General features: G+C 39.3%; 1 protein-coding gene and 1 long non-coding RNA gene across 3 annotated transcripts in view; one reads left to right on the forward strand and one right to left on the reverse strand.

Annotated features, from left to right (window-relative positions):
• EGFLAM (EGF like, fibronectin type III and laminin G domains) overlaps positions 1-16,416 on the forward strand; it is a 206,922-nt gene that overhangs the window by 16,720 nt on the left and 173,786 nt on the right. The window lies entirely within an intron of this gene.
• Positions 6,991-15,708, reverse strand: EGFLAM-AS4 (EGFLAM antisense RNA 4). The gene is made up of 4 exons (NR_046219.1): positions 15,322-15,708; positions 10,411-11,083; positions 8,645-8,825; positions 6,991-7,323 (listed from the first exon to the last, which is right to left on the reverse strand). It is a non-coding gene; the product is annotated as an EGFLAM antisense RNA 4 (long non-coding RNA).

Raw genomic sequence — 16,416 nt, forward strand, 5'->3', positions numbered from 1 at the left:
AGTGGCTTGAAAAACAAGACCCATCTATGCACTGCTTATAAGAGGCTCACTTCACCTGTAAAGACACATATAGGCTGAAAGTGAATGGATGCAAAAAGATATTCTGTGCAAATGGAAACCAAAAGAGAACAGTAGTAACTATGCTTATATCAGATAAAATAGACTTTAAGTCAAAAACTATAAAAAGAGACAAAAAAGGTCGGTATATAATGATAAAGGAGTCAGTTCAGCAAGCGGATATAACAGTTGTAAATATATGTATACCCAACATCAGAGTACATAAATATAGAAAGCAAATATTAATAGAACTGAAGGGAGAGATAGATTGCAATACAGCAATGTGAATAGTAAGGGACTTCAATATCCCACTTTCATCAATGGGCAGACAGAAAATCAGCAAAGAAACACTGGATTTAAACTGCATTCCAGAACAACTGAACCTAACAAACACATATAGAACATTCTATCTAACAGTTGCAGAATACACAATTTTCTTAACTGCACATGGAACATTCTTCAGGATACATTATATATTAGGCCACAAAACAAGTCTTAACAAATTTAAGGAGATTGAAATTATGTTAAGTATCTTTTCAGACCACAATGGCATAAAACTAGACATAAATAACAGGAGGAACATTGGGAAAATCGCAAATACATGGAAATTAAACAACTTGCTCCTGAACCACCAATGGGTCAATGAAAAAATTAAAAGATAATTTATTAGTCCATTTTCTTGCTGCTGATAAAGACATACCTGAGACTGGGAAGCAAAAGATTTAATGGACTTACAGTTCCACATGGCTGGGGAAGCCTCATAATCATGGGGGAAGGCAAGGAGGAGCAAGTCATGTATTATATGGATGGCGGCAGTCAAAAAGAGCTTGTGCAGGGAAACTCCACTTTTTAAAACCATCAGATCTTATGAGACTTACTCACTATCACGAGAACAACACGGGAAGGACCTGTCCCCATGATTCAATTATCTCCCACTGGGCCCCTCCCACAACACATGGGAATTATGGGAGCAACAAGATGAGATTTGGGTAGGGATGCAGGGCCAAACCAATCAGATAAATTGAACTATTTCTTGAGAAAAATGAAAATAGAATTACAACATATCAAAGCCTATATGATAAAGCAAAAGCAGTTCTAATAGGGAATATTTTAGCAATAAATGCCTAATAAAAAAGGAAGAAAGATATCAATTAAATAATCTAAAATTGTACCTCAAGAAACTAGAAGAACAAGAAAATAAACTAAACTCAAAATTAGTGGAAGAGAATAATAAAGACTAGATCAGAAATAAATGAAATATAAACCAGGAAAACAATAAAAAGATCAACAAAACAAAGAGTTGGTTTTTTTAAAAAAGATAAATAGAATTGACAAACTTTTAGCTAGACTAGAAAAAAAAGAGAAGAGTAAATAAATAAAAATCAGGATGAAAAAGGATGTATTACCGTGATACCACAGAAACACAAAGATCACAAGAGACTCCTATAAATAATTATACACCAACAAATTGGACAATCTAGAAAAAATGGATAAATGGCCACATACAACCTATCAAGACTAAATTATGAAGAAATAGAAAATCTGAACATACCAATAATGAGTAAGGAGATTGAGTCAGTAATCAAAAGTCTCCCATCAAAGAAAAGCACAGAACCTGATGGTGTCACTAGTGAATTCTACCATACATTTAAAGAAGAACTAATACCTATTTTTCTCAAACTCCTCTAAAAGAATTTAAGAGGAGGGAATACTTCCAAACTCATTCTACAAGGCTAGCAGTACCCTGATACCAAAAATCAGATAAGGATATAACAAGAAAGAAAACTACAGGCCAATATCCCCAGCAAACTTGAATACAGAAATATTCAGCAAAAAATTAACAAACCAAATTCAACAGTGTATTAAAAAATCATTCACCGTGATCATGTAGGATTCATCCCTGGGATGCAAGCATGGTTCAACATATACAAATCAATAAATGTGATACCTCACATTAACAGAATGAAGGACAAATACTGTATGATCATCTCAACAAATGCAGAAAAGGCATTTGATGAAATTCAACATTCCTTCACCATAAAAAGTCTCAACAAATTAGGCATAGATGGAATGTACCTCAACATAATAAAGTCTGTATATGACAAACCCACAGCCAATACACTGAACAAGGAAAAGTTGAAAGCTTTTTTTCTAAGATCTGGAATGAGATAAGGATGTCCATTTTCCCTACTCTTATTAAACATTGTACTAGAAGTTCTAGCCAGAGAAATTAGGCAAGATAAAGAAATAAAAAGCTCTAAATGGGAAAGAAGAAGTGAAACTGTCCCTCTTTGCAGATGACATGATCTTATGTATAGAGAAGACCGTAGATGCCACTAAAAAACTGTTAGAACTGATAAAAATCAGTAAAGTTGCAGGATACAAAATTAACATGCAAAATCAGTAGCATTTCTAGCAAACTGTCTGAAAAAGTCAAAAAAAATCTTGTGTATAATAGATACAAAAATTGAAATACTGAGGAATACATTTAAGCAAAGAGGTGACAGATCTCTACACTGAAAAACTATAAAATATTTACGAAAGAAATTGAAGAAGACACAAATAAATGGAAAGATATCCAATATGCACAGATTAGAAGAAAGAATATTGTTAAAATGTCCATAATACCCAAAGCAATCTACAGATTCATTGCAATCCCTATCAATATACCAATGACATTCTTCACAGAAATAGAAAAAAAAAATCCTAAAATTTGTATGGAACCACAAAAGGCCCCAAATAACCAAAGCAATCTTGAACAAAAAGAACAAAGCTGGAGGCATCATGCTACCTGACTTCAAAATACACTAAAAAGCTATAGTAATGAAAACAGCATGGTAGTAGCATAAAAACAGACACATAGACCAGTGGAACAGAATAGAGAGTCCAAAAGTAAATCCACACATTTATAGCCAGCTGATTTTTGACACAAGTGGTAAGAACACTCATTAGGGAAAGGATAGTGTATTCAGTAAATATGCCAGGAAAAAAAACTGGACATCCACATGCAGAAGAATGAAATTAAACCCTTATCTCTTATGATATACAAAAATCAACTCAAACTGGATTAAAGACTTAAATCTAAGACCCAAAACTATTAAATTACCAGAAGAAAACATAGGCAAAGAGCTCTATAACATTGATCTGGTCAATGATTTTTTTTTTTTTTTCTGAGACAAGTCTTGCTCTGTCACTCAGGCTGGAGTGCAGTGGCACGAATTCAGCTCACTGCAACCTCCGCCTCCTGGGTTCAAGCAATTCTCCTGCCTCAGCCTCCCGAGTAGCTGGGATTACAGGTGCATACCACCACACCTGGCTAATTTTTGTACTTTTAGTAGAGATGGGGTTTCACCATGTTGGCTAGGCTGGTCTTGAACTCCTGACCTAAAATGATCCACCTGGCTTGGCCTCCCAAAGTGCTAGGATTACAGGCATGAGCCACCGTGCCTGGCCTCTGGTCAATGATTTTTTTTTTTTGATGTAATTTTTGGGATAAAGCACAGCCAACAAAAGGAAAAAGACAAATGGGATCCATCAAACTAAAAGTTTCTGCACATCAAAGGGAACAAACATTCAACAGAGTGAACAGACAAAATACAGAATGGGAGAAAATATTTGCAAACTATATATCTGATAAGGGGCTAATATCCAAAATATATAAGGAACTAAAACAATTCAATAGTGAGAAAACAAATAACACAATTAAAAAGTAGGCAAAAGATCTGAATAGACATTTCTCAAAAGAAGACATACAAATGGCCAACAGGAATATGAAAAAATGCTCAATAATATCACTAATCATCAGAGAAACGCAAATCAAAATTACAATGAGATATCATCTTACCCCAGCTAGAATGGCTGTTATCAAAAAGGCAAAAGATAACAAGTGTTTGTGAGGATGTGGAGAAAAGGGAATTTTTATTTACTATTGGTGGGAATGTAAATTAGTATAGCCATTATGGAAAGCAGTATGGAGCTTTATCTAAAAATTAATAGAACTACCATATGAACCAGCAATCCCACTAGTGGGCATATATCAAAAGGAAATGAAATCAGTACCTTGAAGAGATATCTGCACTCCCATGTTTATTACAGCACTAGTCTCACTAGCCAAGATATGGCATCAACCTAAGAGTTCATCAACAGATGAACAGATAAAGAAAATGTGGCGCATATCCACAATGATATATTATTCACCATAATAAAAAGAAGGAAGTCATATCATTTGCAACAACATGGATGAACCTGGAAGGCATTATGTTAAGTGAAATAAGCCTGGCACAGAAAAACAAATACCACATGGTCTCACTCATATGTGGAGTCTAAAAAAGTTGATCTCATAGCACTAGAGATTAGAATGGTGGTAACCAGAGGCTGGGTGGTTAGTGGGGAAGGGAGTTAGGGTAATGCTGGCTAAAGGATACGTAACTACAATTAGATAGGAATAAGCTCAAGAGATCTATTGTACAGCATGCTGAGTATAGTTAATGATGATATATTGTATTATTGAAAAATGCTAAGAGTAGATGTTAAGTGGGCCTAACATAGTGATAACTATGTGAGGTAATGCATTTGTTAACTAGCTAGATTTAACCGTTCCACAATGTATATATACTTTAAAACATTATGTTGTGCATAATAAATACACACAATTTGATCTTTCAACTAACAAAAATTTTAAAGAAGCTAAAAAAACAAGGTATACTGATGATGAAGAGAGGGACAGATTGTTGGATAGATATATAATAAAGCCAGTATAGATTTTGCTAGTTGGTGCATATACACATAGTCACTCAAAAATTCTTTTACTTTTCTGTATGCTTGAATATTTTTATAATAAAGTGATGATGGAAAAATATGAACTACCAACAAAAGAAACTACCAGTTTGAAAACATAAATGACTACAAATCTTTACCCATAGTGAGTTTCCGGCATGTTCTGCCGTGCACTCACGTACTGGTGGGTTTGCTACGATTGTCCTGCTCTTCACTCCACAGTTACTGTCAGCTCTTCTCTGCCCTGCTCAGTGTTCTATGGGGCCTGACCTCACTAGCTGTATCACCTACTCCTTTGCCCCCTGGCTTCTTTGGGTTTAGCCAATGGGAGGCACCTAAAGGAGATCAAATGAGAGCAGGGGAGAGAATTTGTTTCTTTTCCCCACTTCCCCCCGATTCCTCTCTCCTTTAGTACAGCTTCACTGGCCACAGCTGTGTCTCTCTACAACTACATACAGCCCCTGGCCCACCATGGCTTCCAACTCTGGCTGGCTCCGTGACACCACTCTCCAGTTGCACTCTTGGCCCTGGGTAGTAACAATGTCTTATTGGTTCTGGTCTCTGGGTGCATCAGTGTCCCTAGTTGTTCCTTAAAGCTGCTCACACCTCTGTAAGTAGTTTTCTAATTGAAATCTTTCTTTGATTAGGTAAATTCCTCTTCCTGCTGGGATCCTAATTGATACCTTTGGTACTACTGCTTTGTAATACATGCCTATTTATATGTTCCTCCTTAGGCATAAGCATAAGGTTTTGATTTGTGTTTAGTTTGCATTCAGAACTCTCTGAGAATTAGGTCTGATCTAGCTGAAGGATGCCTGCTGTAAATTCATGCAGTAACTATAGTGTAAGAGAAACCATGATCTTTGAGGATGAGCTACCCCTGGGCCCAAATCTGACCACTTGGATAAGGGGATGTTAAGACTGACATAGGGATAGCTGTGTGGTGTTGAGAAATGATTGCAGTGGTTTCCAGGACTCAATAGAAGTTCTATGAATAAGTTCTAGAGATCCCTTATACAGCCTTGTGCCTAGAGTCAACAACATTGTATTTTACACTTAATCTGTTAAGAGGGCAGATCTTCTTAGGTTCTTTTACCACAAATATTTTTAAAAACAGTCCTGTTACACATATTATGCTAAGTTTTGATTAAAGTATGAACTAAATAAAGAGATAAGCTAAGCACCATATCTAGTGTTGCCAGATAAAATAGAGGATGCCCAGCTGAATTTGAATTTCAGATAAACAACAAATAATTTTATAAAAAAAAATCATTGGATCAAACAAATAATTTTTAATGTAGAGCTATCCAAAATATTGCATGGGACATATTTATACGAAAAAAGAAATCATTGTTTATCTGAAGTTCAAATTTAACTGGACATTCTGTGTTTCTGTTTGCTAAATCTGAGAACTCTAATCATATAATAATTATAGTAATGTGTCATATTATGTTTTCTCAGTCTCAATGCCTCTTGTACCTGATGGTAATAGCCATATGTCTTTTGTGGAAGTGGCACGGGGAAATTGAGTATGACATTTGGAAGGGGACTGATAGGTATTTGAATCTGGACTCTATCTTTACTAGCTAGGTGAAATGGGGCCAGAAAATTAACCTTCCACATGATTTACCACCTTCTCCCAATAAAATGGGTTTACTACACAAGACTTGCAGATTCTGTAAGATTGGCCAACAATAAATTGACTGTGCTTGATACACTGTAGCTGCTAAAGAAGATAAAGTTATTTTATTGTTCTACTTATTCTAATAAAAATAATTTAACTGGAAAAATAATTCTAAGAATCTAAAGGTTTCTGGACACAAATGAAATAAAGGGAAGATAATTCTTCATCTCTTGAGAGTCATCATGAACCCAAACTAACCTCATATTACTTTAGTGAGTTTTACCTAAAGGGAAAGATCACTGTAAGCTTAGATTCTTTCCCACTTCTGTTTAGGTTTAGCTTTTTGCTGATATTTATGGTCTCAATATGTTTTAGACTCTTCTGATTTCTTGGCTGTATCTTATACTTCCTATTTTACTGATTAGTAGAGTTGAAAATGATTATTAGTCAAACTAAAAATTTAGAATTAATTAGGTCACCTCCATTGTCTTAGTTTGGATTTCCCAGAAACAGAACTTAAGACAAAGATTTGAATGAAAATAGTTTATTTGAAAGGTGCAAACAAAACAAATAAGGGGAGGGGAAGTGAGACAAGGAGTCAATGAAGGTTTCTTATCAAGCAATTTACATGTGGATGATTAGAACCTAAACTCATGGGAGAAACTCTAGAACATGGTATAGAACAAGCAGCTCAGTTATCCCACCTGAGGGGTGAAGCTTGGGTATCGTTATCAATGCTATCAGTCACTGTGGGGAGGGCTGTGGGAAGGTAGGTGTTAATTCCCTGGCACTTCAAGGCTTATAGGCAGAACAGTTTCTGTGTCTTCTGAGAAAACCCTCAGGCAAAAAGTTGCAGATCCTGGTAGCTGGAAATGGTGAGGCCCCAGAGGTTATGGCAAGCACCCACATTTGGCCATACCCATAATTGCTAACTTTATTTAGAAACTTAAGACTGAATGCCATTTACCATTTTGATAGACAACTGTTCCTTCCTCATACTAGGTTTATACACTGTATATATCATGGGAAGAAGGCAAAATATATTAGGAAACTCCAAATCCTGAATCCCAGTTCTCATTCCCAACCTGCATTGAGTTTTTTGTTTGTTTGCTTGTTTGTTTTTTTCTGAGACAAGGTCTTCTTCTGTCACCCAGGCTGGAGTTCAGTGGTGCAATCAGGGCTCACTGCAGCCTTGGCCTCTCAGACTCAAGTGATCCTCCCACCTCAGCCCCCAGCCCCCTGAATAGCTGGGACTACAGGCATGTGCCACCACACCAGGCTAATTGTTTTTGAATTTTTAGTAGAGACGAGGTCTCATTGTATTGCTCAGAGCTCAAGTGATCTGCCCACCTAGGCCTCCCAAAGTGCTGGGATTATAAGTGTTAGCCACCATGCCTGGCCTGGGATTTTCAGTGGGGAAGAAAAAAATTTACATCACAGTACAGTCTACAGTCTTTTGATTGAATGACCCGTTCTCCAATTGCAGATATTCTGGAAGGGCTTGGGATTTGGATCCAAGAACCACCTCCAACAATTACTGGAGGGGGAGGGGGGAAAAGCTTTATTCATTTGTGCTGAGAAGAAGACCGGTAGGAATTACAGTCTTCATTGCTTATGATTATACCCTGTTGTTATAATTTGCTTCTAGATCATTCATTGTTATAATGGGGAAGAATCCACGTTTACATATAAAGGCATGCATTGTGCCTTTACATAATAATAATGATAATTAACATTTATATAGTGCCTGCTATGTGCCAGGCACTGGTAGTAACAGCATAGCCTCCTAAGGCTGGCAGGGTACAATCTTAGAATTTTAGCATTAGAAGGGACTTTGGGGCTAACTGTCCAACCCTGCCTGGTCTAGGGCAGACAAGTCACTTGTCTGAGGTCATGCAGCTAGTTAGTGGTAGAATCAGGATGAGGACCCAAGTCTTCTGACCCCTGGTCTACAGCTGTCTCTGCTAGATCCACCACCTCTCTGACTCCATGGGATAGGCAGAAGAAACACGTATGTAGTGGAGTTTCTGTTTTCATTAAGTAGTTCTTGCCTTTTGAATTTAGTCTTTGCTTCTACATTTAGAGGCAATGAACCCTCAGCCCAGGTTTGTAAGACGGTTCCATGCCTGGAGAAAGGAATGACCTGTGGAGAGGTTGTTCCTGCTCTCTAGTCACAGCCAAACCTACCTTCTCAGCTCTTCATTAGCTCCAAACTACAGGGTCTGTGGGAGGCACCAGCTTGTAAGCCACAGACACCTGCAGGTAGAAAGGCAGGGGTGTCAGCGTAGATGTGAAGACAGTGCATTTGTACAGTGTCAAAACTCCCGTCTGGAATGATCTTCTCAGCCGACTCCAAAGTGAGGCACTACTGAAGGGGAGATAGAGGAGAAATTTGTGTCATAGGACAGTGTCAGTGGCTTAGTTAATCACTTGGCTTGCCTCTCATTGTTGGGGATAACCTTGAGGAATTAATCTACTGTGGCAAGGTTCCAGAACACTTTTTTAAAACACAGTTACAGTCATACCTCATAATAGAGCTCTGCCTTGTATAGAATGGATTCTTTAGAGCCAGGGTTAACAAACTTTTTTTTGTAACAGGTCAGACAATACATATTTTGTTCACTTTTATTTCTATTTACGGGGTCTTTCTTGCAACTACTCAGCTCCACCATTGTAGAGCAAAAGCAGCCACAGGCTATATGTGAATAAATGTGCATGATTGCTTTTCAATAAAACTTTATTTATGGATACAAGGTGAGGGCCAAATGTGGTCCATGGGCTGTGGTTTGCTGAACCTGCTTTAGAGTGCTGGAAACCCAAGCCTTCAGATAGGGAGCTCCAGCAGGCCTGCTGCTTTCTTTTGTTTGCCTGCTCTATGGTCTCCTCATTCATCACTGACATTGTGAACATTCTCTTTTCCTGCTGAAATTCTCTTGTTTCCTGGCAAATAGCTTGATTCAATTCTCAAGCACCAGCAAAGACTGGGTTGTTGTAATGGTTGAAATGTATGCTGCCACTAGAGAAAGTGCAGTGGAGTTAGCTTCAGTAGTTGCTGGAGTCACTCTAATTGTAAATAATCTTGAGAAGATAAAGACATCACCAAATAAACTCTCCATTTTGATGTAGATAATAGGCAATAATAACTATGTATATTCAAAATACATAAACAGAAAGCTTTATAGACCTGATCCATACCCCATTCTGCTCATATTTTAAAGTAGTGACAATAGCTCTGTTATAAAGAAAAAACAAGACTCAATTGTTATCAAGAGCAACTATTTTCATATAATTACAGTAGAAACTCTCTTGTCGAGTCCAATTTGGATTTGTTAGTTGATTGTAGAAGTTAAGGGGATGATATTCACGTAGATTTTATTATATATTTTTTCACTTCAAAATAGCAATGGGAACTTTTTTAAAAAAATGAGAGCCCACCAATTGGAGTTCTTGGTAATCCTTCAAGCACAAACTGCAGCCCCAGTGCATGATCAAAGTGCAGAATGCTTCTAGATTTCCCCATCTTTTAGAGTTGCAGCAATTGTTTTTCAGAATGACCTTTATGGAGTTATTCTAAAGCAATCACCTTAGTTTTTACAGAAACTTTTTCTTGTTGTACTTGTATTTCATTCATCTACAAAATAAAAAATCATGTGATCAAAACAGTGACCAGGACTGTCACAACGGCCTCATTGTAACTGTGCACTCTACACACACTCCACATTAGCAGGGAGGGTGGAAGTGGGTGGGGGAGGTGATGCACCAGGGCCATACAGAGAGTGCATCCCCAGCCAGCCCAAGCTACCTTCAGGGTCAGTGTCGTATGTTTGACAGAGGGAATGGAGGCCATTGGTCTACTCAGGAAGTAACTTAGTGTATTAGTCCATTCTCACACTGCTATAAAGAACTGCCAGAGACTAAGTAATTTATAAAGAAAAGAGTTTTAATTGACTCACAGTTCTGCATGGCTGGGGAGGCCTCAGGAAACACAATCATGGCAGAAGGCGAAGCAGGCACCTGCTTCACAAGGCAGCAGGAGAGAGAAGAGAAAGTGAAGGGGGAAGAGCCCCTTATAAAATCATCAGTTCTCTTGGGGACTCACTCATTATCACCAGAACAGCATTGGGGCACCTGCCCCCATGATTCAATCACCTCCGTCCCACAACTTGTGGGAATTACAATTCGAGATGAGATCTGGATGTGGACACAGAGCCAAACCATATCACTTAGGTAGACTTTCTTTTGCTCACCATGATTTAGTTCCAACTGATGAAATTCTTTCCAGCGAATGACCCTCCAGTCATCGCTAAAGCCTGAATCTTCTGTAATGACACACATATGTAAAAATTAGAGTGATCAGTAAACTCAGCATTTCAAAAAAAAAAAGTAAATATTTGCATAGCTTAATTATATGCCAGCTGCATTTCAAGCACTTAGAAACAAGAACACTTTTACTCCTCTTAACATCCGTTTGAAGTAGGTATTCCACATGATCATCTTGCAGTGCTCAAGTTTCTTGACTGAGCCAGAAAGAGGTTAAGTAACAGTCAGGGTTAGAACCAAGGCAGGCTGGGCTGGAGTCTTTTTCTTGGCCGCATCTCATTTCTGCTTTTCCAGGCTGAAGTTGCTCTACAGAAGGAGGGTTGGAGACATGACCCAAGTGAATACTCTGACACACAAATCTTTTACATCTTATAGTCGATTCCAATGAGCACACATGATAGGTTCTCAGCAAAATGTATCAGGAGGTATCAGCCTAGGGGAAGTAAGATGTGAGCACACCTTCCCAAATTATCCAGCTCCTCAAGGAAAAAAATGCTTGACTTAGTGGTCATGGTGGACTTCCTGCCAGGAATGAGGTTTTGTCAGGGCATGGAAAGCCCTAGGTAGGAGTTTACCAAGCCTATGTCATCCTTAGCCATGTCACTTTGAAACTCCAGTAAATTTACCTTTTGTAGATATATTGCCATTATGAAGCTATATCTCTGGATTGAATATCTGAGTTTGGGATACTTTGCCATCGGCACCATCTTGCTATAGTTTACACAGATTATAAAATAGTGAGTAGACATCACTCCTGAATAGCGACTTTGCGTCTATGAGATGGTGACCAATGTGTGAATATACGCAGGCAGTCATGTCCAATCTAAACAGACTGAGAGGGGATTGAACACAGCAGGCCTGGCCAGAGCCTACCACAGGGCCCTGACAAAATAAAGTACTTGACTGATATATTAAATGGTATTCATCAACTTCAGACAAGAGGGCCTATGAGGGCAATGATAGAAACACAGGAAATTGACAGATTATGATAACAATAGCTTTGTATTTGTATGGCACTTTGGTTTACAAAATTCTTGTCTCCCAAGATCACTGTTGCTAACAATGTGATTAGTTCTAGGTAATAGATCTTGAAGCCAGGTAGATGTACTTTACAATCCTACCTCCTAGATTTGTGACCTTGGTCAGTTTCCATAATCTTCCTGAGCTTCAGTTTTTTTCTTTCATGTGTAAAATGGGGATAAATCATTTACCTTTTGGGGTTTTATGGTTTATGGCATATAATGCTACTATGAGTTAAGGCGTATATGTGCCTAGCACAGAGCCTAGTTGGCAGTAGGTTCAATGCAGCCCTCCTTTTTTTTTCGTTTGTTTTTGAGATGAGGTCTCACTCTGTTGCCCAACCTGGAGGGCAGTGGCACAATCTTGGCTCACTGCAACCTCTGCCTCCTGGACTCAAGCAGTCCTTCTGCCTCAGCCTCCTGAGTAGCTGGGACCACAGGTGTGCACCACCATGCCTAGCCAAGTTTTGTATTTTTTGTACAGATTGGGCTTCGCCATGTTTCTCAGGCTGGTCTCAAACTCCTGGCCTCTAGTGATCTGCCCACCTCGGCCTCCCAAAGTGCTGGGATTACAGGTGTGAGCCACTGCTCCTGGCCAAGACAAGCATATTTCTATTTAATGACTGGTAAGGCAGAGGCATCATCTAGTTGGAATGAACTCCCAACCAGTCAGAAGGAAATTGATCCATGTTCTAAGCTGAGATGTGGAAATGAGTATCTTTTATGCCCTAAGTGGGGCAATGACAAATCAACGTGATTTTGCTAATCAGTCATTAATGTTTACATATCTGTGTATTCATTTAGCAATTGTTTATTTAATTACCATATGCCAGGTATTGTGCTAACTTCTGGGAACACAGTGAGTGAGAAATATAATAATTTCTCTGAAACCCATTAACGCTTTGGAAAATTCCAAAGATATAATGATTCCTGTTGGAAATAGAAATTACTTAGTTTGTAATTTAACTATATTAGATTTAAATCATCTGATTACAGATTACAGAACTAATTATAAAGCTGAAAGGTACATTATGAACTGCTTTTTCAGTGTAATTTCTTAATATAGATTTTTATTAATGTAGTTTTATATAAATGAAAATTCACTGCACAGGTTAGATGGTCTGCAGATTTAAAAAAACTGTTAAAGATAAAAGGGCTTTAATATGTGGTAAGGCTGTTTTATTGTATTATCCAATTTTCATGACATCTTCTAGGACTTTCAATATAATTAGTAAAATAGCTGTAACTTTTGGGGTTATGAAAGAAAGGTGGTCAGTTTCAAAACTGGAAAATGGAAAAAACATATTGCCAGGAAAGATAGGGTCTCCACTGTGATATAATCTATTATGCATATTATTATTCTAGCCATCTGATCAAATAGAAGGCCCTCCTTTCACAATTGTACTTTAACTAGAAAAACTAAATGATTTCATAAAACTTTATAATAGCCAAGAGTTTGACTGAATAGTTCACATTTAAGATTTGAGAGTGGAGTTTTGAGCTCCTAACGCTTTGGTTCATGAGCTGAGAAAATATAGGTCTCTTACCAATTATTGGAGAGAAGTGGTATTGTTCAGTTACATAATGAAGCTTAGGACAGACTAAATGCTAATTTTCTTGTGGTAAAAGACTCTCAGACTATAAGAAAGGAGATAACAAATATTTGTTTTTTCTTTAACAAGTTACATATTTCAGTTGTCTAGACAATATTAAATTAACCAAATTGTTGAGCAACTGCTTCTCTGGCTCTGTAGACCAGACATGTGTTGTTTCTTCAATATTGGGGTGGTTTTGAGTGGTAGGGAAAGCACTGTGTTATAAGGTAGAAGCAAGCCCCAAGTAGAAGCTACCCCACCCTCATGTCCTATAATTGGGTCTGTGATCACCACATGCTTTTATGAGGGTAACCTTAGAGAAACCCTCTGTGGCTCATCTCCTTATTAATCCAATTCCTGCCCTTATGGGGGAGTGGGAATAGGAAGTCTTCCTTTGGTGGTACAAAGCAGAACCTCTTTAAACTCAGGTCTCATAGCAAACCAGCCTCCCTGACACCCCTCTTCCTCTACTCTTGCCTCTTTCTTTTATGATATCATCTTCCTTTCAGTTTGCTAAGCTTGTATCCTGGAGTCATCTTTAATTCCTTTCCTCTCCTTCTCTACCTGCTAATTCTTCTTCCTTGGCAATTACTCTTTCTTTCCCCGCCCCCACATTTCAGTTTCCAGGTCTTATTTCAGATTCTTTTTACTTGAAACCTGTAATAGGCTCCTAACTAGCTTACTTTCAGTGTTTCTGATTCATACCCATCTGTATTAGTCGGAGTAAGCTAGATAATGCTGCAGCAACAAGCAGCCACAAACCTCAATGGCTTGAAACAAATGTGGTTCATGCTACACTGCCATGGTAGATTATAAGAGACTGATCTCTGAAGCATCTTTACTGAGTGACCCAAGCTCCACTACTTAGAATTTTGTCAGTTTCTGATAGAGGAGGAAAGTGGACAGAAGGATCTCACACTGACAAATGTTCTGTTCAAGAAATGACACTAACTTCCACTCACAACCATTGGCCAGAACGAGTCACATGGCAGAAACATGTAAACCTCTCATGGGCTTGGAACGCATGGAGAAATGGATATCGGATATCCTACACTGAAGGCAAGAATTCTATAATGAAGACTAGGGATATACAAGGAAGGCCAGGGTCCTGCATTCAAGACTAAGTTTCTCCAAAGAAGGCCAAGGTCCTCTAAGGAAGGCCACGGTAGTCTCCTCAAAGCACTCCATTACTTAAAGTCTTTTGGCAGTTCCCACTATCAAACAGCCCAGAATGTAAGGATCTCTAACATTTAATGAATAGCCAATATTTGTGAAGCACTTACTCTGTCAGGCACTTTGCTAGGTTCTTTATACCCATTATCTTAGCTCACAACAGTTATTCAGGTGGACATTATTACCCACATTTGACAGATGAGCAAACTGAGCATTAAAGAGTGTCTTAGTTTGGATTTTTCCAAAATCAGACCACAGAGATGAAGACTTGGGTGCCAGGAAGCCCAAGGAAGGGTCGGGGTAGAGGGTCAGTAATGTGATGAGTGAGTCACCACTGTGAGCAGCTGGGGCTCAGCACAGCTGCAGACCCTCTGAGAGCCTGTAGAACAGCGCTCCGCACTGTGGGCTAAGGAGCTGGACTAGTTTTCCACCGATTCCTATCCCTCCTTGGTTGAGACTTGTTCTTGAGATGTTAACTCCCCAGCAAGTCCACCTGCCCTGCCACAGTAGCCAAGCACAAGCTGTCAGCCAGGATATACCCATAAGCAGAGGCGAGGAAGCTTCAGTTTTCTGGAACTGTGCCGATAACCCCGACAGGATATGAGCATTGACAGCACATGTTACAGAACAGTGCAGTGAGCAAGATTTAAACCCAGTCTTGTTCCAAAACCCACTATCTGTTCACCCTGACCTCTTACTACTTGCTACTACTGGAGATAGCTCTGTGCTCTAACCAAAAAAAAAATGGATTACTGACCTCTCTCCAAACCATCTTGTCCTTTTCCTTCTCAATCCCTTTTTTCATGCCGTTTCTTCTTCCACTTGGAGTTCCCTTTGCCTCTGGCCTCCAATTCAAATTCCGTCTGTGCTCTGCCCAGCTCAGTTGCTTTCTCCATGAATGAAGCCCTTTTTGCCCTCTGGGATGCTGCCTCTCTCCTTTAAAACCCTACAGGGGTCGGCCGGGCGCGGTGGCTCACGCCTGTAATCCCAGCACTTTGGGAGGCCGAGGAGGGCAGATCACGAGGTCAGGAGATCAAGACCATGCTGGCTAACGCGGTGAAACCCGTCTCTACTAAAAATACTTAAAAAATTAGCCGGGCGTGGTGGCGGCAGTCGCCTGTAATCCCAGCTACTCGGGGAGGCTGAGGCAGGAGAATGGCGTGAACCCGGGAGGCGGAGCTTGCAGTGAGCCGAGATAGCGCCACTGCACTTCAGCCTGACAGAGCGAGACTCCGTCTCCAAAAAAAACAAAACAAAACCCTGCAGGGGTCAGTTATGCTCCTGCCACACTCACTCTGTGGTGTCTCGCATAGCAGGGATACACTTAGAGATCTTTTTCTGGATTAGACTGTAGACTCCTTGGGGGCATGGACTGTATTTTATTAAGTTGCTTCAAATATTTGGTGGAATAAGGCAGGTAAATATGACTGTAAATGTGCACACAATATCCATATGCATATTCATTTCATTTTCGGCCCATGTTGGCTGACCTTCCCAAAGGTCACACTGAAGTCTGGATTTGGGGAGGAGAAGGTTTTCTGTTTCTCTGCTTCCTGCACCACTACCAGCTTCTCTACTCACCCAACCTCTGGCATCTGTGTGGCCACTTGCAGTTTCCACTCCTGAGTAGGAACAGAAGAGGGAGCTGACTCATGAGGGCAGGGTGGTTTCCAGCAATTTGCAGCAGGTTCCTCTCCACGTGTCTCCACGTGTCTTATCTGGAAATGTGTACCTGTCATTATTCCCATTAGAAATAGAAGTGGAATGAAAATGGTTTGCTCAATTCTGATGACATGACAAAGAGAATGCAATTAACCTTAAGGAAAATTGCCCAGAAACCTGACACTCTCAG

The sequence above is a fragment of the Homo sapiens genome, chromosome 5 (assembly GCF_000001405.40).
Source record: "Homo sapiens chromosome 5, GRCh38.p14 Primary Assembly".
Classification (NCBI taxonomy): domain Eukaryota; kingdom Metazoa; phylum Chordata; class Mammalia; order Primates; family Hominidae; genus Homo; species Homo sapiens.